Source organism: Homo sapiens, chromosome 7 (genome assembly GCF_000001405.40).
Source record: "Homo sapiens chromosome 7, GRCh38.p14 Primary Assembly".
NCBI classification, from domain to species: Eukaryota; Metazoa; Chordata; class Mammalia; order Primates; family Hominidae; genus Homo; species Homo sapiens.
In genome coordinates this window covers 70,213,648-70,239,673 of record NC_000007.14, presented here as the reverse complement: position 1 = coordinate 70,239,673, position 26,026 = coordinate 70,213,648, and the positions used below count along the sequence as shown (strand labels likewise).

The window sequence follows — 26,026 nt, the reverse complement described above, 5'->3', positions numbered from 1 at the left end:
CACCTGAGGTCAGGAGTTCAAGACCAGCCTGGCCAACATGGGGAAACCCTGTCTCTACTAAAAATACAAAATTAGCCAGGCATGGTGGTGGGTGCCTGTAATTTCAGCTACTCAGGAGGCTTAGGCAGGAGAATCCCTTGAACTCCGGAGGTAGAGGTTGCAGTGAGCCAAGATCGCACCATTGCACTCCAGCCTGGGCAAAAAGAGGGAAACTCTGTCTCAAAAACAAAACAAAAAAAATTAGGTTGCAGGGCTGGCTCTGCATGAATTCATATGGTAGGGGAGGAGAAAGGTAGAAGGGGTTAAAAATTAATCAATTAATTCTGATTTTCTAAACTAAAGAAAAGAACTGAAAAATCATCTTCTCAAAAGACATATGATGGGCCAGAGTAGGTAGTAGGGCCTGGGAAAGGAAGCAGCCAGAGAGACCTGATGTGGCCTGCCCCAAGACATGGGGGCTGGAGAAGATACTGGGGAGGCAGAGGGTTTGTAAAACATTTTTGTAAATTTTGTAGTTCATAAAATTATGGAGGAGAGGCTCTGATTGTTTAGGGATAAATCAGGAGCCCAGAAGAAGGAAAAGTGGAGGAGTCTGATGATTAAAGGACATCAAATAGTATCTGCTCAACGAAACTATCTGCTCAGGCATCTCTATTACATCGGTAACTGCCTCCCTCCTGCCAAGTTACCTCACAACCAATAAGAGCTCTATTGCTCAAAGCAAATACTTAATTAGGGAGTTCTACTAATTGATAAACTGACATCTGTCTGATCAGGCCTATAACCACACACAAACAAGTGCATGTACACACACACACACAAACACACATACACAGAAACACATCTCTCTGATGATGAGTGCACGCATATCTTGTTTCTCTGGAGCTCAGAAGTAATATAAATAAGGTGGGGGATTGTAAGAGAAAAGCTAAGAAGAGGAGGAAAATGACAATTTGTATTTACTAATAACATGCAATAAATCTTAGTCCTCCTACAGTTAAAAAAAAAACACTAATAATAAACTCAGAGGGGGTACTGTCTATAGGCAAGGAGGAGACATAAAATGTAAAGCATGATACAGTGGTGCTCAAAGTAGCCTGCTGAAAGCATCTGACTCCTTGGACAGGAAAGGGAGACTGGTGAGATCTAGAGAACTCTTAAAGTTAGAGAGAGGACTTGCTAAGCTAAAAGAGGAAAGTAAATAAGAAGGGAGGGAGCAGGCAGTCCACGATCTAAGAGGGGCAGCCACATGACAGATGCACAGGGCAGTAGAGGAAATGACAGCATTAGTGTTGGTCCTGTCAAAAGGCCTTGCCGGCAAAGCTAAAGCGGACAGCACTAAAATCCCCTCTGCTCACTAGGCCTGCTGGAGACATAATGAAACACAATACTGTTGGGGGTGGCCCCTGGGTAACATTTTCACTTCTACATTCCATTTTCAGTTTAGGTCGAGATTTTTAAGAAGACAGCAAGCAGCACTCGAGTCCCAGGTGACAAGATCTGCTCAGATTTAGTCTTTGAATGTTGCAAATTAAATTCCCTCATCAGGCCTCTAATCACTCTTACCAGATGGGGCTTGTGCTCAATTTTGGATCCACAGGAAATTTAATGGTTATTGTTTCTGTTTAAATAGGAGATTATTGCATTTTAATAAGTTCTCTTTGGGACTTGCAGCAACAATAGAGCACTATGAATTACTGTAGATAGCTGTTACTGCATGCTGGGGAAAAATCAAGTTACTAAGTGTGACAAGTTGCTTTTTCTTCCCTTCCAGCAATCGCTCCGAGTGTATTTACCACCAAATTAAGTATGTGCCGAGGGGATAATATTTTTATCCTGCCGAGGGGGAGAAGGAGCTTGTCTGTGGATTTTCATTAAAATGACACATCTGTTCAGCAATTTCACAAAGTAATTCTGCTGAAAGTTTTATCAGCTAATTTTAATTATTCACTCCAGTGGGTTGAATACAGGATTCATCATGTTGAATTAATACATTTGACGGGAATTTCACAAAGAGGGGGAGAAAAAGCAATCAACAAATTGAATTGTCATGCATTATGGATTAAATTGAGATTCTTTAATTAGGATAAGCCTGAGATTTGGTATTTTGAAGGTATTAGAAAGCTTAGCAATACAGTGGTAAAGATTAAGAAAATGCAATTAAATATTACACTTTGGACACAGCCAGGATATCATATGAGTAGAAGAGTCCTTTTTAGCAGAATGGTTAATAGTGTCAGTTTCTAGAATTGCTCAGTGGTGGAACTGCGGCCATGCCAATGAGAGACAGCTGCTGTTTGTTTACCACAGATGAATTAAAGGTAATTGTATTTTAAAAGACTGGAAGCTGACTCTCTTTAAACTACAATGAGATAATTGTGGCAGTGACAATGAACAAATAACTAGGAGATGCAAGGTTCAAGTTCTGGCCCTGCCATCACTACTTACATATGAGACTTTGAAAAATGCAATATTTTTTATTGAGCACCTATTACATGGAGACACTGTATTAGACAAGCAGGAATCAACAGTGAACAAGAAAGTCCCCTGCCCAAGGGAGGTCTAGAGTCTAGTGCAAGACTCCTCTCTGAGGGCTCAGTCTTTGTATCTAAATAACAAAGGGGCTGGATCTGATGAGTGTGCAAAGTCTGTTCCACATCTGACATTCTACACAAATTGCAATAAATAATTGTATTGAGCTTACTTTACGAAGGCAGTAAGTGGTAAGCAGGGAGATTAAACAGAGTAGTACAGAGAACACCAAGTAACAATTATTATTCTAGAGGCCCCCTCTCCCATGCATGCTGGCTTGGGTGATGAGTCTACATACACAGCATCCATAATGCTTTCTGCCAAAGTGGGATGGCAATGAGGGGGAAGGAGCACCATGTGTACTGGACAGAGAAAATAACAACGAGGAGTGGAATGCATTAAAAAGTGCATCAGGTGAGCCCCTAGCACTTGCCAAAAATTGTTTAGACTTGTAAAACTAAACAGAAGCTAAAAGTGGAAAAAGAAACAATTTTCACTGAAGATATCAAATACTTGCTGACAGAGGGGATACAGCTACCAGTCTGTGGGAAATAGTCTGAGATCCATTTCGGCTTTAGTTCCTAAATCGGCAATATACACATACAGATGAAGACCATGAACATTATAAGAGGAAGAAAAAGTACTTTTTATTGAGAAGACAGTATTAACCTAGCTTATCAAAAAGGTTGAAAATTGCTTTTTAGTTCCCCCCAAAATGTTCATTCACTCCATTTCCACCTGGCACAGTAGGTCACATATACTCACCAATGAAACTGTACATGCCATCACACTAGAAGAATCACAAATACTGTACTATCTCATTAGAGATATAAACAAATGAAATTATATTTTTGAATACCCAAAAGAAAACAACAAAACTATAAATTAAATTCATGGCTAATATGCCCATGTTTTAAAATTTTCTAGAAATTTTTCTAGTCATCTGTGTTCATTCATTCATTCAATAATACTTACTGAGTTTCGCTATGTACCACACACCACTCTGGATACTGGGGAGAAAGTGGTGAGTATGGCACATACCTCACTTTCAGGGACCTGACATTCTAGTCTGGGTTGGTGGTGAAGAATATAAAATGTTATATCGAATAGTGATAAGTGCTAAGAAAATACAGGGTCAAGGTAAAGAATAGTGAATAATATGAGTACAGTTTTACAGAGGGTGGTCAAAGAGGGCCCCTGTGAAGACAGGACATCTGAGTAGATGGGAGCCCAAGGTGGGCGGACCACGAGGTCAGGAGTTCGAGACAAGCCTGGCCAACACAGTGAAATCACGTCCCCCGTCTCTACTAAAAACACAAAAAATTAGCCCGGCATGGTGGTGGGTGCCCGTACTCCCAGCTACATGGTGGGCTGAGGCAGGAGAATCACTTGAACCTGGGAGGCAGAGGTTGGAGTGAGCCGAAATCATACCATTGCACTCCAGCCCAGGCAACAGTGTGAGACTCTGTCTCAAAAAAAAAAAGAAAAGAAAAGAAAAAAGAAAAACACAGGGGTGGAAGATAGGTATCCTGCTTTCATATCTATCAAGAGAAGCAGAGCATCCACCTAAAAACAGATAGTACGTATTTTAGTTATTACGTGATAATAAAGGTAGTATAGGAAAGAAAACAGTGTTGCAGCCTATAAGCCCCTCCCGGCTGGTGACACAACCAACATGCACACAATAAGCTTAAAACAACTTTAGGTTGGGTGGGGTGGCTCACACTTGTAATCTCAGCACTTTGGAAGGACAAGGCTGGAGGATCACTTGAGGCCCGGAGTTCAAGACCAGCCTGGGCAATATAGTCAGATCCTGTCTCCACACATTTTTTTTTTTTTAATTAGCCATGGGTGGTAGCATGTGACTACAGTCCCAGCTAATCAGGAGGCTGAAGCAGAAGGACCACTTGAGCCCAGGAGTTCCAGGTTACAGTGAGCTATGATCTTGCCAACACACTCTAGGCTGGGTGAGACAGTGAGACTCCATCTCTAAAATAAGAATTATAAAAATAATAGCTTCATATGTCAACACATTCACCAATGCTGAGGCCGATTTCCTCCAAATCATTTTAGTATATTAAACCGTTATAATACATGGATTTTGAGGAAAGTCCTTCAATTATTAACAGTAGCTAGTGAATCTTTTATGTGAATATTTTCGCAACCATGAGGAGAGAACACCAAGCTTTTGCTTCCCCACCACTGCTCCACTGGAATAAGCCCATCTCATTAAGGACATTACCTGCCCTGCCATAGGACGGTGAGCAGCTTCCAGCCTCTGCCTCTGTTTTTCCCAAATTACTCGGTGAAGATCAATATTCCAGGTGTGAAGATCCCAGGACAAGCAGTAAAGATGTGAAGAGGTTTCCATTCACGGGATTCAACGTTTAGGCCTCCATTAGCACAACAACATTCAAAGGACCACCACCCAAATAGCCCAATACAAATAGCCAAATACAAATTGGGGTGTGGGCTGTTGAATCAGAGGTCCAGGTTACAAGCTCAGTTTAAGGAGATAGGAGGAGTTTATCTTTAAAGGGGGAAAGAGACCAAAAGAGGCTCAGTCTCCTCATCTGTAAACCAAGGATAAAAATACCACAGAGCCGTTAAGACAGCAACTGAGAAAATACACATAAAAACAACTGGCATAGCACCTGGTACACACATAAACATGCAATAAATGTTTGCAATTATTACTATTTGGTAGAGGAATGAAAAAGTGTAAAAGGAAACATATCTCACAGGGGAAAAGAAAATACTGAGAGAAGAGTTGAGAAACTTTTCATAAGGAAGTGAAGAGAAACGTGAATGACAATCAATGAACGCCAGTTCTAAAAAAATTAAATAATCCCAAGACCTAAAAAATCTTGGCATATGCTTTATCCCATTTAGTATCCATACTGGGGTCTAAATAAATATGATATAATACATTAATATATTAATATATGTTAGTTACCATATAATAATGATCAAAGTATCAGAAAAGCACAGCCTATGAGAAGCGCAAATATCTATGGCTTCTGATCCACAAATATGACTTAAATGCCCACAGCTTGGTTAGAATTCATACCAATAAAACCATGACATCACAAGATGGTATTCAGGTGTGATGACTTCAGCCATGAGCTTTGTTTTCTCTTTTAGTTTGATCACTTCAAAAGCACATACATCCTCCACATGATCAACCTTTGGACAATGATCTCACTCTGTATGACAATCAGGAAAGGTGAAATTGCAGACACTGAGCAAATTTAACCCTTGCGGTAAAGCCAGTATAGGGCTGTAACGCCACTTATTTCATGCCCGATTTATTTCAAGCCTTCTGCATCTTGGGCATCTCTTTACCAGCAATGGGAAATTCCGCTTTGGTGATTCTTATGGTCTTCTCTCCATAGTCTAAAACCTGATTAGGACCCTACGGGGATAATGTTAGCATCAAAAAAGAAGAAAAGAAAGTCCACCAAAAATTAGACGCTGTTTGACTGTGTGAAAGTAGAGATGAAAGGTATACTGTGTTAATGGAAAAATATACATCAGATAAAAGCCAAGGGATTAAGTTAAATTTGACAAATGTATCTGCCCGCAATTCCATTTCTAAACGCAGCAGACCTGGAGTCATAGTCACAATTATGTGAGGTCCATTAAGCAATTCCTTTCCCTCCCATTCTCCTTGTGTCTTTCACAACTACTGTTATCCATCAGAAATCTCGACAATGTTTGAAAAGAAAAACCACAGTATAGATAGGAAAAACGTATACAGTTCCTATACCATTGCAACTCTAATATCCATTTCCTCAAGAGAAAATATTTCCAAGTACTATGTGAAGTGTAGGTCCCAGGACACAGAGAGCCTGCGAGGTGTATGTGAATGAGCATAAGTGCACATGTGTTGGATGACGTGGTAGGGAGGGTAGGAAAGTGGGCAAAGCAACATCACAAGTTTCTACAAGAGGGATTCAGCTCCTAAATATGAAAGGTCATATGGCTTTATTTATATCCAAAACCAAATGCTGAGTTTTCCATAACCCAGTATGAAATATGTTTTTAAAGAAAGGCAATCAAATGAATGTTTTGAGGCCAAGGCTCTCAGTAATGTCTGCTTTTGTACATTTAAAAAGTGATACTACTAATATGTGAATTGCATAGAGTTATGGAACATTTCAAGGGGCAGAAAAAGCAGTAAGTTTTGTTTAATCTTCAATCAAATACTATTTTTAAAAAGCATACGATTCTGGAGTTTTTCTTTAAAAGTTGAAAACAAATATTTATTGAATTGAGCATCAACTGCTACCTGTGTTGTCAAGAGTAATTATTAAATACAGGCCTTTGACTTTTTCTAAAAATAGAAATGGAAATAGCTTTCGGTATACCTACCTGAAAAAATAATGACTCTTGTCATGACAATGACAGAGATAAGGAAAAACACTTGATATAATGCTAAGTTTAAAAAAGCAAGACCCCAGGCTGGGCGCAGTGGCTCACACCTGTAATCCTCAACACTTTGAGAGGCCGAGGCAAGCGGATCACCTGAGGTCAGGAGTTCAAGACCACCTCTACTAAGGATACAAAAATTAGCTGGGCATGGTGGTATGCGCCTGTAGTCCCAGCTACTGGGGAGTCTGAGGTTCGAGAATCATTTGAACCTGGAAGGGGGAAGTTGCAGTGCACCAAGATCGTGCCACTGCACTCCAGCCTGCGTGACAGAGTGGGACTCTGTCTCTCAAAAAAAAAAAAGAGCAAGAGCCTAAATTACACATGCATTATGTTGCTGACCACGTTAAAACTGTACGTATGTATGCTCATAGAAAGACAAAGAGGAGGATGTTCATAGCAGCTTCATTAATAATAGCCACAAACTGGAAATAACCCAAATGTCCCACAATAAGGAAACTGTGGCATATCTATTAATAAAGTATTATACAACAATTAAAAAATTAAAAATCCCTGCTACACCTAAAACATGGATAAATTTCAAAAGTTACTATGTTGAGTAAAAGAAGCTAGAGGAAAAAGAGGACATATTTTAAATATTCATTCAAATGAAGTTTAAAAACCACACACAGATTATAGGCTGGATGCAGTGGCTCATGCCTGTAATCTCAGCACTTAGGGAGGCTGAGGTGGGCGGATCATGAGGTCAGGAGATTGAGACCATCCTGGCTACCATGGTGAAACCCTGTCTCTACTAAAATACAAAAAAATTAGCCAGGCATGGTGGCACATGCTTGTACTCCCAGCTACTCGGGAAGCTGAGGCAGGAGAATCGCTTGAACTTGGGAGGTGGAGGTTGCAGTGAGCCAAGATCGCGCCACTGCACTCCAGCCTGGCTACAGAGCAATGCTCTGTCTCAAGAAAAAAAACAAAACAAACAAACAAACAAACAAAAAAACCTCATATCTAGGCCAGGTGTGGTGGCTCACACCTGTAATCCTAGCACTTTGGACGCTGAGGCGGGCAGATCACGAGGTCAGGAGATTGAGATCATCCTGGCTAACATGGCGAAACGCTGTGTCTACTAAAAATACAAAAAAATTAGTTGGACATGGTGGTGGGCGCCTGTAGTCCCAGCTACTCGGGAGGCTGAGGCAGGAGAATGGTGTGAACCTGTGAGGTGGAGCTTGCAGTGAGCCAAGATCGTGCCACTGCACTCCAGCCTGGGCGACAGAGTGAGACTCTGTCTCAAAAACAAAAAACAAAAAACAAAAAAACCACACAGATTACAAAAAGTAATCTGTAATGACAGAGGTCAGGACAGTGGTTAACTCTGGGATGAAACTAGAAGGCTAGGAAGGAAAGATTAACGGGTGCTGGACATGTCCTGTATCTTAATCTGGGTGGTGATTACGAGTGTGTTTTCACATGTAAGAAATCTTTAGCTGTATACTCAAGAGTGTACTTTGTAGCATGTATGTTTCTAAACAACAACAACATACCCAAGACAGCAGACCTTCCAAAATGGCTGAGTGAGGAGGTTGGCAAATCCTTGCCACAAAAATAAACAATGAAACAGAACAAAATTGTCAAAAACAATCTCTAAAGGACACTGGAAATTGACCAAAGGCATGCAATAAACTGAGAAGTGTTTCTTCAAGAAAACTCACCGAACCTCATTGACAACAGTGAGAGTCTATAGCACTTTAGTGCGGTGCTACTCCCACTCCCTAGTTCCACCCCTGCTTCCTGATGCAGAAGTGCTGTCGGGGTGGGTGTGCTGTGAAGATGAAGGCTCTGATCCTAGAAATGACTGATTTTATGTGGAAAATTCTATGACAAAGGGTATTGTCAAAAACAATAGTGATCTTAATGCAAACAATCAGGAAAGGACAACACTGCAGCTACCCTGAAATCTCATAACTGACTGAAGCAAGCAACAAACCAGTAGGCCAGTCAGAAAATTAATAGGCAGATCCAGGAACTGAAAGAGGGCATTGATGCGATCCTACTTATCTCTGATGGCCTGGAAAGCTGTGCATATGCACAAAGCTGCACACTTGCTCAGAGAGCCTGCAGAAAGCCTTAGTAAGCTACTTATTTCTGCTGAGCATGAGGCCTTACAACACAAAAATTAAGATTTGGGCCAGACTGGTAAATAGGCTGACTGCTGATTCATTCCCCAAATCATTTATGGATCCATCATAAAAGCAGAAGGCAGTGATTTAGGGGTTCTAAGTGTTTAGATACAATCTCTAGCCAATCTTTAACTGAGCACTCAACTATTTTGATTTCAGGGGTGGTCCCTAGAAAGCTAGGCTTATATAAGTGGTAAGGGTGGTGGCAAACTCAATGGAGTAGAGACAACAGCAGCCACACATTATGAGGGAAACATGCTGCACAGAACCATTCCAGTAAGAAACTAAAGTAATAAACCCAAAACAAGCAAAAACAAAAAACAAAAAAGAAACAACCATTAACTCTAGGTATGTGTGAGGGAAGAGATGGGGAAATCAGATTATACAGTTGCTACAATATATTATCTAAAATGTTCAGTTTTCAGCAAAAATATTAGGCATGCAAAAAATTAAAATTTTACCATTCCAAAAGGAAAAAAAAGTCAATAGATACTATCTCTGAGGGAGCCTACATGATGGACTCAACAGAAAAAGACTTCAAATCAGCTGTTATAAACACATTCAAAGATCCCCTTCCGAAAAAGTTTGGAGATTTAATGGGAAGCATGATGTCATAATTCATCAAATAGAGAATAGCAATAAAAGGGTAGAAATTCTTAAATAGAACCAATTGGACATTCTGAAATCTGAAAGTACAGTAACAAATAAAAAATTCACTAGAGAACCTCACCAGGAGATTTGAACGGCAGAAGAAAGAATCAGTGCATTTCAACACAGATTGATCCAGGTTGTAAATCTGAAGAACAGGGGGAAAAAATGAAGAAAATAAACAGAACATAACAGACCTGTAGCACACCTCAAATATAACAAACACACACATAATGGAGATTCCAAGAAGAGGAGAAAAAGGTTCTGAAAAAGTATTTGAAGAAATAATGGTAAAAACCTCCCCCAATTTAATGAAAAACATTAATCTAAACTTCCAAAATTATCAAATAATTCTAAGTAGGATAAACACAAAGAGATCCACATCTACACATTTCATATATAACTGTTGAAAGGCAAAGAAAAAGAGGAGATCTAGAAAGTATCAAGGGTAAAAATGACTCACTATGTACAAGGCACCCAAAATAAGATGAACAGCCAACTTCCAATCAGAAATAATGGAAGGCAGAAGACAGTGGGAGGATGTCTTCAAGTGCTCAAAGAAACAAATAGATGTCAACCAAAATTTCTGTATCTAGCAAAAATATTCCTCAAAATGAAGGCAAAATTAAGAAATCCCCTATTAAAGACTGAAAGAATTCACTGTTAGCACACCTGCTTTACAAAACATAAAGTTCATTAGGATTAAACAAAATGACAACAGACCTTAATTCAAATCCACATGAAGAAAAATAAACATTGTTAAAGGTAACTATGTAGGTAACTATAGGAGGCTATATAATTTTTGTCTTTTCTTGTCTCTAACGATTTAAAAAAGAGCTACATAAATCAGTACTTGTAAAATTGTGTTGTAGGACATATAATATAGAAAGATTAATATATATAATAATAGTAGCACAAAGAAAGAGAGAAAGAATATAGTTATGTGTGCCAAAGAAATGCTACCAAGCCATAAATCAATTCCACATTTAAAAAATGAAGAGTAATGGAAACAGTAAGCATATAGGTTTTTATATGTTGAAAGAAATCATACATACATTTTTCTATTTTCTTGTCTTTGTCTTAACTTCTTTAAGCATAGGTTATACAAAGCAATAATTACAATACTGCATTGTTGGGTATATAAGATATATAGATGTATGTGATAATAATAGCTATAAAAGATGGTGACATGGATCTATAGTGAAGCAAAGTTTGTGCATACTACTGCACAGACTTTAATACAAAGTCATTATTAAACTGACAAAGTTTAATACAAAGTCAGTATTAAACTAAAATAGACTGTGTTAAGGTAGAATGCATGTATAAACCCTAACCCATTCAGAAAAAAATATTTTCATAGAGCAAAAATGAACTAAGTAATAAAAATGATACACTAAAACACACCTATTTAGTTACAAAAGAAGCAGTAAAGGAAAATCAACTGAACAAAAAAAGATGAAAATCAAAATGGAGACATAAATCCAATCAAATCAATAATAATATTAACTATAAATAAATTTAAAATTCAAAAAAAAGAGATTGTTAGACTGGATTTTTTTCAAAAGAGACCCAATGATATGCTTTCTAAAAGCGATACATTTTACATACAAATGCAAAAATAAGTTTAAAAAAGATTGAAAAACAGTATGTGAACAATAAATGTAGTTTAATACAAATTAAATGTAGTTTAATAATAAAGGGGAGAGAGAATACTGTCCGACAAAACAGACTTTAAAGCAAAACTGTTACTAGAGACAAAGAGATTTTATAATGATAAAAGGGTCTACCCACCAAGAAGATACAATGATATACATGGATATACCTAACTACAAACCCCGAAACAGATGGAGCAAAATCTAACGGAACTAAAGGGAGACACAAACAATGCAAAAATAACTGGAGACTGTGATATACCACTCTAAATAATAAACAGGACACCTAGATAGAAAACCAACAAGAATATAGTAGACTTGACCAACACTATCAAACAAACTGACCTAAGAACACTCCACCCCAAATGAGTATAGTACATACTCCTTTTAAGCACACATGGTACATCATCAAAATAGATCATATGCTAGGCCATAACTATCTATAAATTTAAAATGACTAATATCACATAAAGTATATTTTCTGTATTGCTAATTAAATTAGAAACAAACAACAAGAAAATCTGGGAAATTCACAAATATTTTGAAATATGTCAATAGACTTCTAAATAGCCAATGAGTTAAGAGAATGAATCACATGAGCGATCAGAAGATATTTTGAACGGAATAGAAATAAAAATAGAATATACAAATTTTCATGACTTCAGCTAAAGAAGTTCCATAAACACCTATGTTGGAAAGGAAGAAACAGTAAACCAGTAACAGACACTTCCACCTTAAGAAATCAAAGAATGGAGAAGAAGAGAGACTGCTCATGAACCTTTCTGGAATGATGCAAATGTTCTGTATCATATTGTGGTGATGGTTACAAATCTCTGCAAATTTACTAAAACTCATTGAATTATATGCTTAACATGGATAGATTTTTGGGCATAAATATAATACACTACATTTTAAGAAACGTTTTTAAAACCTTTAAAAAGGTTGTTTTTTTTTTTTTAAATGCATGAGAAAAGTGACCAGAAAAAAGTAGGCCCAAAACTAAGTGTTACATTAGAATGGCAGGGGTGTAAGTATTATTTATATTTTCTAATTGTTGTTGCAATAAAAATTCATATTTAAAAGTTAAAAGAATCATTGTTTCCACTTTTTATACACATATAAGACTGTATTAAATGTATTACCCGGGTCTTCAGACAGCCATCTAGTTTAACTTCCTGGCTCAAGGTAAGAATGTAACTAATTCATGAAAAATGGGATTTTATACAAACTGTTTTTACGTGTCTTAATGGTAATAAAAAATCCCAGGAAACTACCTTCACCCCAACCCCTTTTAGCTGTACTCACTTAAAAGGCTCCTTAGAGCATCCACTCATTTCAAAAATTTCTTCCTGGTGTCTAATGTCAATCACCTTTGGTACAACTCAAATTCATTTCAACACAATGGATCTTCTGAGATTTGTGTTCATATCCTATTTCTACCACTTACAGCACTATGCAACACTCTTCCTCCATGTCTTCATCATACAATGGAAAAAATAACAATATAGTTGCAAAAATTAAATGATATACTGCATATAACATGCTTAGAATACATGTACCCAGCATGTAGTAGATATTTACTAAGAATTATTATGAAGAAATGAAGAAGAGAAAACCCTTTGAAGGAAAGAGGTGATGGCAGGGTAGCTGAACCAAGTTACCCAAGTCTGTATTCTTTCATGCAAGAAGCTGGGTTATCTGAAGTGGCCTGAATACAGCAAAAAGCATGTTAAAAAATAATCTGTAATATGTAATTATTAAAAGGGGGGGCCAGGTATGGTGGCTCACGACTCTAATCCCAGCACTTCAGCAGGCCAAGGAGGGCGGATCACAAGGTCAGGAGATTGAGACCATCCTGAGTAACACAGTGAAACCCCATCTCTACTGAAAATACAAAAAAAAAAAAAAAAAATTAGCCGGGCATGGTGGTGGGCGCCTGTAGTCCCAGCTACTTGGGAGGCTGAGGCTGAGGCAAGAGAATGGCATGAACCTGGGAGGTGGAGCTTGCAGTGAGCCAAGATTGCTCTACTGTACTCCAGACTGGGTGACAGAGTGAGACTCCCTCTCAAAAAAACAAAAAGTGGGGTGGGGAAGCCTTTACAAGATTCAGTTCCCCGTTGAACAATAGCTTATAATCATACAAGCAACAGAATAGCTTTTAATAGATGACATAAATGTTCTGCCATGTCAAGAATGAATAGACATTTACATGTTCAATTGAATAAACTGGTTGCTCTGCTTTGATTAGTCCTACTTGGGTTAATTAAAATACTTCCATTTCTTCTAGTATTCATAGCTCTCTGTACAGTTTACAGAGGCTGGAGATGGATTTTTAATACTGTTTACCAACTGTAAGATTTTGATGGACACTTTAATCATGCAATACAACCGCAAAATCTACCACTGGGAGCTACACAAATCTTGAACCAAATTGAGAAAAGAAATTACATGAACACAGCCATGTTACATTGGTACTAACTTGAGAAAAAAGAGCAGAAAAAATTCCTAATACAATCTTTTTTTGTAAAATAATTTTTCAAGTACCATAATCTTCCTTAAGTTAATAATTTATATAAGTCATCAGTGTTTTTGATTTTTTTGCTTGTGTTTTGCTACATATAACATTTTTCATTAGTAAACTATCAACTACTTCTGAACCCCTGTACAGAGATTAAAGGACCAACATCTTCCTAACCACTTGCAAGGCCAAAGCTCAAGTGGCAGCCATCTTGTAGAATTTCACTGGGCCTTCAACATCTGAAGCACCAGAATGGATTACAACTTTTCATATGACAAAGCTCCTGGGACACAGGATGAGTTCAGTTCTCCTTTAGGCAGAATGACTACCCATCAAGATGCTATAAGAGAAATTAAAGCACTAAAAACAACATTTCTACATAAACTTTTCAGGAACCTTATAGCTCTGAAGTCATGCTAATCTAATATTTTGGAGATTTCCTAAATTAACTTTTAAAAACTGTTCTGCAGAAAATGAGGAAGGGAGACAAGATACAGAAAAATCTAAGGGATTTTATTTCTTTAATTTGCATCTGGACATATTAAACCCAAAAAGGGACAGTGATTTAACTTGTTTTGTCATGTAACCAAGTGATGTGGGAAACTTATTCTAAAAGGGGGAAAATTAGTCCTGAAATAAGCTTCTTAAACTGAGAAGAAACATAGAGTTTCAATTAACAAGGAAGACTAAGCCTGTGTAGAAGACTAAGCACAGTCATGTGTTGCTTAACGATGGGAATATGTTCTGAGAAATGTGTCATTAGATGATTCTGTCATTGTATGAACTCATAGAATACACTTCGACAAACCTAAATGGTATAGCCTACTATACACCTAGGCAACATAGCATAACCTATTGCTCCTAGGCTATAAACTTGCATGTGACTGTACTGAATACTGTAGGCAACTGTAACCTGATGGCAAGTATTTGTGTATCTAAACATATCTAAACTCAGAAAAGACGTAATAAAAATATAGTATAAAAGATTAAAAAATGGTACACCTGTATAGGGCACTTACCATGAATGGAGCTTACAGGACTGGAAGTAGCTCTAGGTGAGTGAGTGAGTGAGCAGTGCATGAATGTGAAGGCCTAGGACATTATTGTATACTACTGTAGATGTTATAAACATTGTACATGTTGGTTACACTAAAATTATTTAAAAATTTCTTTCTTCAATAACAAATTAACCTTAGCCTACTGTAATGTTTTTTACTTTATATATTGTTCAAATTTTGAATCCTTTTTAATAACATTTAGCTTAAAAATGTACAGCTGTATAAAAATACTTTCTTCCTTTATATCCATATTCTATAACCTTTCTTTTATTAAATTGTATTGTATGGTATTATATTGTATTGTATTGTATTGTATTGTATTGTATTGTATTGTATTGTATTGTATTGTATTGTATTGTATTGTACTGTACTGTATTGTATTGTATTATACTTTGAGACAGGGCTTCACTCTGGATAGCAGTGGCACTATCTCAGTTCACTGCAGCCTCTACTTCCTGAGCTCAAGTGATCCTCACACCTCAGCTTCCAGAGTAGCTGAGTCTACAGGCACACACCATCATGCCCACTTAATTTTTGTATTTTTTGTAGAGACAAGATTTCACCACATTGCACAGGCTGATCTTGAACTCCTGGGCTCAAGTGATCCACCTGCCTCAGCCTCTTAAAATGTTGGGATTACAGGCGTGAGCCACTGCACATGGCCTACTTTATAAATGTTTTTGTTAAAAACTATGACACAGACAGGTGCAGTGGTGCATGTGGGTAATCCCAGATACTTGGGAGGCTGAGGTAAGAGGACCACTGAGCCCAGGAGTTCAAGACTAGCCTGGGCAAAATAGCAAGACCCCTTCTAAGAAACAAACCAACCAAAAAAAAAAAAAAACAAAGATACAAACATGCACACTAGCCGAGGACTACACAGGAACAGGATCATCAATAACACTGTCTTCCAGCTGCACATCTTGTCACACTGCAAGGTCTTCAGGGGCAATAACATGCATGGAGCTACCATCCCCTATGATAACAATGCCTCTTCTGAAATACTTCCTGAAGAACCTGCCTGAGATGTTCTAAAGTTAACTTTTTTCTTTTTAACTAGTAGAAGGACTACACTAAAATAAGTGTAAAATTACAGTATAGTAAATACATAAACCAGTAACATAGTCTTTTACTATCAAGTATTATATACCGTATATAACTGTATATGCTGTACTTTTATACAACTGGCAGCGCAGTAGGTTTGTTTACACCAGCATCAGCACAGAAGTGAGAGTAATTTGTTGCACTATAACCTTACCAGGCTATGATGTCATGAGGCAATAGGAATTTTTCAGCTCCATTATAATCTCGTGGGACTCTGTTGCATATGCAGTCATTGATGGAAACATCACTATACGGCACATGGCTGTATGAGGAATGTAAACCGAACTACTATAAGCACTGCTTCCCAAATGACATTAAATGCTGCCTACTTATTTTCCATGTGTCACAAACACATAGGAAGTTCATTGTTAAATAAGGATGATCTATTAATGAAAATGCAAATTTCAGCCAGGCGCAGTGGCTCACACCTGTAATCACAGCACTTTGGGAGGCCAAGGCAGGAGGATCACAAGGTTAGGAATTCAAGACCAGCCTGGCCAACATGGTGAAACCCCGTCTCTACTAAAAATACAAAAAATTAGCCGGGTGTGGTGGCGGGCACCTGTAATCCCAGCTACTCAGGAGACTGAGGCAGGAGAACCGCCTGAACCCAAGAGGCAGAGGTTGCAGTGAGCTGAGATCACGCCATTGCACTCCAGCCTGGGTGACAGGGCGAGACTTTGTCTCAAAAAAAAAAAAAAAAAGCAAATTTCCAAGCCAAGAAATATTATCATAAAGCAGAGTGAAGAATATTCAAATATTTTATGAGTTGGTTTGCAAACAGATAGATGGGAACATTCCTATTGTGAGCAATAAAAGCCAGTTCTCCTCTTACTGTATACTGTACTAGATGTCTTCACACTTTGGGGGCTTCTAAAAGCAGTAGCAGAACCTTGAACTGTGATATTCATGAAGTCATTTCCTAACATTGCAGAGAACTTAAAGTCTTTTGAGGTTCATGAAGTATCTTGAGATCCTTAAAAAAAAAAAAACTCTACCAGTTGTAGGCTTTTACTAAAGAAGATAGGGTGATTCCTTAGTTTCTAACAACTTGTGTTATACTAGAGGAAAAATATCACTTTTTAAAAAGATATTGTTTCATAATATTTTAATCATAGATGTTAAAAAATAGTCCTTAAATTCTCCAGTTTTCTTCCTTCTTTTACAATAGACAAATTTTGCATGTTCCTATTGAACTTCTCTACTCCTATGTTCTATCCATTTCTTGATAAGAAAACTTGTAACAAAGCAGCTTCACCTTCACTCACCTTGCAAACACCCTTCCTACATTTGCTATCCCTCTTCCTCCCTGACACTGAAGTGGCAACAGTAAGAGGTAAGAAATAATATTGTTTATTATTTTATTCGCTGTCTTAGTTTCCTCTTCTTCAAAATGGGAAATATCTACTGCAAAGATTTTAATTAAATAACATAAATATGTAAAATGCTGGAGCATAATAGACTAAGTAATGTTAATGTGAAAAATTTAATCCATAGGTAATTTAATTTTACAATAATTTAAGAATATACATACAGATATTTAAACAAAGTTGTATTTTATGTTTTCCTTAATCAAACATATACTTTTCTCTGGCAAAATAATTGCATTTATATTCTTGCTAGATACTAAGCAAGTAAAGACAAAATATATGATGATAAAAAGCCAAACCCAAATGATAGATTCTTTATTTATTATTATTTTTTTGAGACACAGTTCTGCTCTTGTCACCTAGGCTGGAGTGCAATGGCATGATTTCGGCTCACTGCAATCCCTGCCTCCCAGGTTCAAGTAATTCTCCGGCCTCAGCCTCCCGAGTAGCTGGGATTACAGATGCCCACCACCACGCTCGGCTAATTTTTATATTTTTAGTAGAGGCGAGGTTTCGCCATGTTGGCCAAGCTGGCCTCAAACTCCTGACCTCAGGTGATCTGCCCACCTCAGCCTCCCAAAGTACTGGGAATACAGGCGTGAGTCACCGAATGATAGGTTCTGTATGATTCCATTTCTCTGAAATTCTAGAACAGGCAAACTAACCTAAAGCAGAGAAAATTAGAGTAGTGGTTCCTCCAGGGGTAGGCTGGGGGCAAGGACTGACAGAAGGAACTTCCTGAGGTGATGAAAACTTTATGTATCTTCCAATTTAGGCTACAAAAGGATCAGCCTTTCCAAATCTCAGAGAATGTACATTTAATGTTGGTACGATTAATTGTATATAAATTTTACACCAAAAGAAGAAAAACTATAAGCCAACATTAAATTTTAGTTAATGATATGCATGCTTAAATATTTATGAAAATGTATCTTGATGTCTGAAATTTAATTTAAAATAAACCAAAAATAAAATGGATTAATGAATAGACAGAAGGACAGATATATAATAAAGCAGCCAGGTGTGGTGGCTCATGCCTGTAATCCCAACAATGCAGGAGGCTGAGACAGGGGGACAGCTTGAGCCCAGGAGTTTGAGACCACTCTGGGCAACATAGTGAGACTTCATCTCTACAAAACATTATTTACAATTAGCCAAACATGGTGGTGAAACACACATAGGGTCCTGGCCACTCAGGAGGCAGAGCCCAGCAGTTGCAGGCTGTAGTGACCACTGCACTCCAGCCTGGGTGACAGAGCGAGACCAGAATTCTAAAACAAAAGAGGATAGGATAGATATACAATAAAACAGTATAGCAAAATAGTAATGGTAGAATCTATATGGTGAGTATTTGGGTATTAACTGTAACATTCTTTAAAACTGCTATATGTTTGAAATTTTCATGAGAAGACATGAAAGAAAGAATTGGGGGAAAAATGATAGGAATAAGTGACTCATGGTTGACATTTTCGCCATCCTCAGTTCCCCCTTCCTCTAAAAGGAGGCATTATGCCCTGTTACCTTTTCAAAGGTCCACAGCCTTTTTCTTCAGGATCCAGCTGATATCCCATCATTTCCATGCATCCGTAGCTAGCCAGGTCATGTCTTACTTAGCAGATCACCTAAATCAGCTGAAGTGACTTCCCTCTCTCTTAAACTTGTAAAGCAATGGTGGCTTTTGTCACAGAGGGACACCATTTAACATCTAATATTATGTGTCTCTGTCCCATCTATGGTTCCTTTCTAGCTTAACTGTAAGCTTCATCAGGGAAGGGACTTTGCTCTATCTCTGAATATCCCTCGATGCTTAGCACCCTGCCTAACACACGTCTGATACTAAAGAATGAGGAGTGACGCTGGCATGCAGCAGGTACAGAGGAAAGGTTGGCAACTACAGCCTGTAGGCCAAATCCACACCCCTGCCTTTTGTATAACCCATGAGCTAAGAATGGCTTTTATATTTTTAAATGATTGAAAAAAATCAAAGAATTATCTTTTGTGACAAATAAAAATTACATAAAATCAAATTTTTGTGTCCATAAATAAAGTTTTATTGGAACACTGCCACATTTATTTTTGCGTTATCTATGACTGCGGCTGCTCTACATCAGAGCTGAGTGGTTGTGGCAAAGACTGAACAGCCCACAAAGACAAAAATATGTATTATCTGTCCCTTTAAAGGAAAAGGTTGCCAAGCCTTGCACAAATAAGTAACTACTGAATGACTGTAAAGTCTTAGTCCTAGAATGTATGTCTTAGACTTAATGTGACTCAACTACATAAAACTTAATTACATGTAAGAAAGTGGTTGGCTATTTTGATGCATACTTTGATCTTAAAAAGGGAAAAAACAGGCTGGGTACAGTGGCTCACACCTGTAATCCCAGCACTTTGGGAGGCCGAGGCGGGTGGATCAAGAGGTCAGGAGTTCGAGATCAGCCTGACCAATGTGGTGAAACCCTGTCTCTACTAAAAATACAAAAATTAGCTGGGTATGGTGGTAAGCACCTGTAATCCCAGCTATTTGAGAGGCTGCGGTAGGAGAATCGCTTGAACCCGGGAGGCAGAGGCTGCAGTGAGCCAAGATCATGCCACTGCACTCCAGCCTAGGCAACAGAGCGAGACTCTCTCTCAAAAAAAAAAAAAAAAGGAAAAGAAAAAAATTTACTGTTTGTCCTTAATTTCTGTTCAGATCTCAAAACAAATGTTATATACAAATGTTCTTCCACTGGTGAGGAGACATCTTTTACTGTGATGTCTATACACTCAAAATTCTGAAATAATTTTTTTTTTGGCTAGCTCTTAGAGAACTTTTCCACATCATATATCTTGCTTTTATTGGAGAACGCATGAGCGACAGTTTTGTGGATTATACAACATGTTGTTCTGGCTAATTAGTTTACTAGCAATTAAAAATAAAATCATGGCAGAGGGCCACTTGTCAATTTCACCTTGTCATAAATGTGCTTGATGCTCATTGTGTCTTAAATAAAAATGTATCACTAGCAATGAGAGAGATGTTTTCCATTGGATTTTATTCCATCATTTGGTATAATTATTCCTGACAATTTGCCCATCATACGGTATGTCTCTCTCCAGAAGGAGAAAAATACTACTTTGTGTTCTCGTGATCACAAGTCTAATTGAGTGGAAAACAAATCTGTTTTAGAAATGAGAAAAAGAGACAAGCTACTGTTTACTCTGTTAAAAATAATACGCAGAACAAATGACAAAAAATGTAGCAAATAGTACTCTAAATCTTACTACTATTTTTTTTTCTTGAGTATCAAGATTTACTCCACAAACAAAACTGGGATGATGATTTCATATGATAGTGATGAATTACAGGTACATATCGCTAGGTCTACTGCACTGTTTTCCCAGTTCTGGAAGAAGGTAGGTTCTGGCTGATGGTCAGGTGGCTATCAGAGGGTAAGCAAAAGATGTTTGGTAAAAGAGCAACCCCCTGGCCCCATCTACCAAGAATGAAGAAAGTAGGTGCCATGTTGTAATTTCAGCTGACAAGAAGCATTAGCATTATCGCACACTTTGTGAATTAAGTAATGATTTAATTAGTACCAGTCTGAATGGTCATATAATGTTGTAATTAGAAGGCTGAGACAAAAATAATTGACAGAGGTGGGGCTGGGGCTTGTTGGAAAATTAGCATAATTAATGGAACACAGGAAGTGGAAATGTGTGCCTCAGTGGCCGATCACAGACCCTGAGGGCAAGGACCATGGCTTTCTCTACTGTGCATACCTTCAGAGCCATCTTACTGTGCCCCAGCATATTAGATACTCATATTATCCTTGTTACCGCATCAGAGGGAAGTCAGAAGCACTGGACTCTAAATCTTTCCTTTCTCCTTTAGCCAAAGGTTGGGCAAATCATTCTCCTTTTCCTCTGTTCACCTTATCTCTAAGATAAGAAAAAAAAGTAAGATGTCATCCACTTCAAAGCACTAAGTCAGAAACGATGTAGCATTCAAACAGAGAACTGCCTCACTGCCCCCTTGGTGGATGAATTAGAGGAATTAGAAGTTATATGACACAGGGCCTCAAGAGCTAAAGCATTAGCTGCCCTGTTACTTAATGAGCAGTTGCTTTGTTTTCTTGCAGACACCAGATCATGGAGTAGTGTATGCATGGGCAGGCCTGCAGACCATCTTGCTGCATCTTTCCTGTCTCTCGTTTTTATCTGGGTCTGGACCTTTACAGCATAAAGTTTGCTTCAACCATCTATATCAGTTAGGGTTCTGGTAAAAACAAACAAACAAACAAACAAAAACCAGAAAACACTTAAGAAATTTTCTGTAGGAAGTGATTTAATACAGAGAACCAACCTCTTACAAAAAATCACTAGACAAGGTTAAAGTATGGCCTTTCTTCTGCCATAAACAGAAGTCCATTGTTGCAGCAGCCCAGCTACAAATGCACTAGCGAAGCTGCAACCTGGGATCAGGAAATCGCATCATAACTGCCTTTCAACATCTAGGAAGCTGAGTTGAAAACTGAAACATCACCACAGAAAAATCATACTTCTCCTGCCCTGGCTAATCAGATAAAAAGAGCTAAAGCTGAAGATGAATAACCTTTACCTCATGTCGACCTTCCAAATCTTGAGCAAATATACCTGATTCACACCCAGAATCCTAGCTGCAAGACAGACTGGGAAATAAAGGCTTTCGTTTTTTAGTCTTTGCAGTTAAAAAAGCACAACTAGAATGAACTAGGAAATGAAAAGTGGGTGCCACTCAGCTTTATTCGCCATGCTCTAAGTGCCTATTAAACTTCTCAGTTAATTTTTTCTCTCCTCTCTTCAGCTGCTTCTAATTGGGCTCAACATGTAAACTTCAGTTTCCTTCTAAGTAGTCCATGTCACCCACATACTTTATCTTCCAGTTCCTACCTTGAGAGTGACTGCATACAACACAAGATCCCAGGTTATGTGAACACCAGTGGAAAGAAGGATAGGAACATCTGTGAATGCTCAGAAGACAGAAACACAGACAGAAGACTGCAAACCAATATCCTCATCCAACTTTTCTTCTCTGTGATTTTATTCTAAACTGTGGACATAACATTTTTTCTTGCTAATAAAAGCTGAAACTTGGCAAGTAAAATTTCAGAATAATTAGTCCAAATAGTGGTAGTAGCCGGAAAAAAAAAATACGCCTATGTAAGACGTCCCACAGAAACACGAAAATTGCTTGAACCTGGGAGGTGGAGGTCACAGTGAGCTGAGATCGTGCCACTGCACTCCAGCCTGGGTGACAGCGCAAGATTCTGTCTCAAAAAACAGTAATAATAAATAAAGATGAGGAAACCAATGTTCGCAGTGGTTGTCTTAGTCTGGGGTTCTCCCAGAAGCAGACAATGAGAAGTTTATTTAGGAGGTAAACAATAGCAGGAGACTGGGAAAGTAAGATCATGACAGCAGACAGGGAATAAAGGGTATGTAATTATTCAGCCAACTACCACTATGGGCAACTAGAAGCAAATGCCACTGGGAGGACTCCGGAAGCCAGTGTAGAATGTATACCTCAAAGTTATCCCACTTAAGAAGCAAGGAAGCTGGTGTATTTATACAACAACTCTCATTAGTCATTGACTGTGGGTTGCTCAGGTAGCAGTTCATTTCACCTACTTCCTGCCTACTCCTTAGGCAAAGCAGAATTCATTGACTAGACAAACCCTGAAGATGAATGAATATAAGGCCTAGCGGGAGGAAGGAGGGCCATTGTGAACTAAAGTGGAAGGGAAAGAGGGGTATGGGTGGGACACCAGGAGCATCTGCTAAGTTGAAAATGAATGCTAAATTAAAAATTATATGAAATGGAGTGAAATGATTTAATTAACAGATTATAATTGTTTGGATTAGCAAATCAAACATTAAGCAAGTAGTAGGGCTGAGACTTCAAGCCCGTCATACACCTTTCAGGGTCCATATTTCGTTCCAACACTCTGTCCAGATTAAACATAAGATGAAACATATGTACACTGGAAATTTGGGACTTGAAGGAGACTAACTATAATTTGAGGTATGGGGAGGACTGAACAGCTGTAATACCCCAAAATGGAACTATTAAAATGTTACAGAGTAGAAAAATCTACAAAGATCTTCACAGTATACAACACTGCCCTAGCATTCAAGGATAGAAGTGCTAAAGAAAGTTGGGCTACAATATAGGGATTCTGAATTTTTTTTATAATTTTTCATTTGTCAGATTCTCAATGGGCCAACCTGTGAGTTGCTGTCTTAAGCTCTCGGCAGATGACAATCAAAACAAAGATTAGAGAAAGTCTGTGATTTAAGCCAAATTGTATTACTAAACTAAAACAGAAGACATCCTTTATGTAAGAATTCTAATACCAAGCATTTTATGAGCTTATGACCTCTGACCTTGATGTACAGAAAGCAATCATGAGACAGGTACAAAAAGTATTTCATCATCTTCACCATGAAAAATTACTACCACCTACACAACTGCTCAAGCCAGAAACCTAAAAGTTACATCATCCTTGATGCTTCTCCTTTTCTCAAGTTCAACTGATATAAGTCCAGTCCATTTCACCCCCAAAGAGCTCTGAGTAATTCACTACTCACTTTTCCCACTGCCAACTAAGTTACCATCATTTCTTTCCTGTAGTATGTCTCTCCAACCACCCTGCCAAACATTCCAAAACATTCTCCGGAGAGTAATATTTTTCCAAATATAAATACAAACAAATCTGATTGAGTCAGCCCCTAACATTCTTCAGTTCTCACTGACCTTAGAATAAAATCTACTATTCATATTTGGTGATATCTGGCCCTGTGGAACTTTGCTAATTATGAGGAGACAAATAATATGCAGGAGCAGACAAGGTAAATTAATTCTAAGGATATGAACAGCTATAACAACAACACAGGTATCTATGTTTTATTTTTATTTTCTTTAGAGAAAGGGTCTTACTCTGTTACCCAGGCTGGACTGCAGTGGCATGATCATACCTCACTGCAGCCTCAAACTCCTGGACTCCAGTGATTCTCCTCTCAGCCTCCTGAGTAGCTAGGACTAAAAGATGTCACCGCACCTAGCTAATTTTTGTACTTTTTGTAGAGACGGGGTCTCAGTATGTTGCCCAGGCTAGTCTTGAACTCCTGGCCTCAAGGGATCAGTCCATCTTGCTTGCTCAAAGTGCTGGCATTACTGGCGTGAGCCACTGTGCCTGGCTTAGTATCTATCTTTTAAAAGTGGTCCATAAACCCCTGAGCTTGCAGTCTTGGAAACTTCTGGATATCATCTACGGTTAAAGATATTCATATATTTAGAATTCAGACTATGATTCAAAAAATAAGCTACAAGAAAAGTAATTTGAATGCTACACTAGAGTTTTCTTTCTCAATAACTATCACATAGCTATAAACCCATAAAGTAATAAGTCTAGAAAATATTACTGTTTGTATACATTAAGCCAAATATACAGATCCAAGGTATCGAAGTGACCATTCCAGAAACCTTCCACAGAGCATGTCTGAGAAAACCACGAATTTAAAAAAAGGTACTAGTGACACGCTACACATAATTTTTACACATTAGACCACTGCTGGCTGTCGGGGAGTATGTATTATTCAAACAGGGTGCACATTCAGTAATGGAAAGGGTGAGGGGAGATGCTGCCTTTAATTTTAATATGCCTGACATACTGGAAAAAATTATTGGCATCTGTATGTGTGTGACTGAGTGTTTTGTGGAACATGTGTTGTATGCAACACTGTTTATTATCAGTAAATGAAGCCAAAAGCTAAGTTGAAAATGAATGCTAAATTAAAAATTATATAAAATGGAGTGAAATGATTTAATTAACAGATTATAAGTGGAATGTTGCAGTGCAAGAATGAGCTTGGGAGAAAAGAGAAAGAAAAAAATGTGGTTGGGTGGAATCCTGTCTTTTCCCTTTATTTGCTCAGAGATACTAATATAGTCACATGATATTTGCCAGTTTTTAACCACAGCCTCTGTGACAGTCAATAAACTTGCCTAATTAAGCCACCAGTTTGGAGCACAGAGTTTGAAACAAATTGCCTTCTGTTTTAAAGCAAAAGGGAGGAAAAACAAAATACAGTATATTGTCTGAAAAACCTAGCTCCCCATTTCTAAGACCTTAGAAATATATAATTAGGTCTAATCCTCCTGTGTTAGCATCAAACCAGCCTTTCAAAAGTGCTGCAGTTACCTTCAGGAATGAAATGATATTTATATTTATAGACCACCAAGTGTCAAACACTGCCCAGGTACTTTGATATCTGTTATCTCACTGTTTTCTTATGATAACATTGTATGTACGACAATTACAATAACTCTAACTTTAGGGAGGTTATAATATTTGCTAAGGCCACTGCAGAAGGACAAATAAAGCCTGAGAATTAAAACTCAGGCCTCTTGACTCTAAAGCCCATGCTATTTCTTCTTTACCATGTAGCCTCTTCCTAAGATCCCTTAAGAGAGAAGACATGAGTACCCAAATAAAACTGTTTCCCATAGCAAGAGCCATCGTTTTAGAGCTCATTCCAGTGTATGATACCTATC

General features: G+C 38.1%; 1 protein-coding gene across 26 annotated transcripts in view, besides 5 other annotated features; it reads right to left on the bottom strand.

Moving 5' to 3' along the window:
* AUTS2 (activator of transcription and developmental regulator AUTS2) overlaps positions 1–26,026 on the bottom strand; it is a 1,195,032-nt gene that overhangs the window by 553,833 nt on the left and 615,173 nt on the right. The gene's annotated exons all lie outside the window — the stretch shown is intronic.
* Positions 1,037–1,116: an enhancer, noted in NCBI's record as "active region_26107". NCBI's record gives its function as "activates an Ori minimal core promoter by ATAC-STARR-seq in GM12878 lymphoblastoid cells {active_cell/tissue: GM12878}" and the evidence as "EXISTENCE:reporter gene assay evidence [ECO:0000049][PMID:35858748]".
* Positions 1,037–2,429: a biological region, named in NCBI's record as "VISTA enhancer hs658".
* Positions 1,045–2,429: an enhancer, noted in NCBI's record as "VISTA enhancer hs658". NCBI's record gives its function as "enhancer in: neural tube[9/15] | midbrain (mesencephalon)[11/15]" and the evidence as "EXISTENCE:transgenic organism evidence [ECO:0001131][PMID:17130149]".
* Positions 1,437–1,606: an enhancer, noted in NCBI's record as "active region_26106". NCBI's record gives its function as "activates an Ori minimal core promoter by ATAC-STARR-seq in GM12878 lymphoblastoid cells {active_cell/tissue: GM12878}" and the evidence as "EXISTENCE:reporter gene assay evidence [ECO:0000049][PMID:35858748]".
* Positions 1,627–1,736: an enhancer, noted in NCBI's record as "active region_26105". NCBI's record gives its function as "activates an Ori minimal core promoter by ATAC-STARR-seq in GM12878 lymphoblastoid cells {active_cell/tissue: GM12878}" and the evidence as "EXISTENCE:reporter gene assay evidence [ECO:0000049][PMID:35858748]".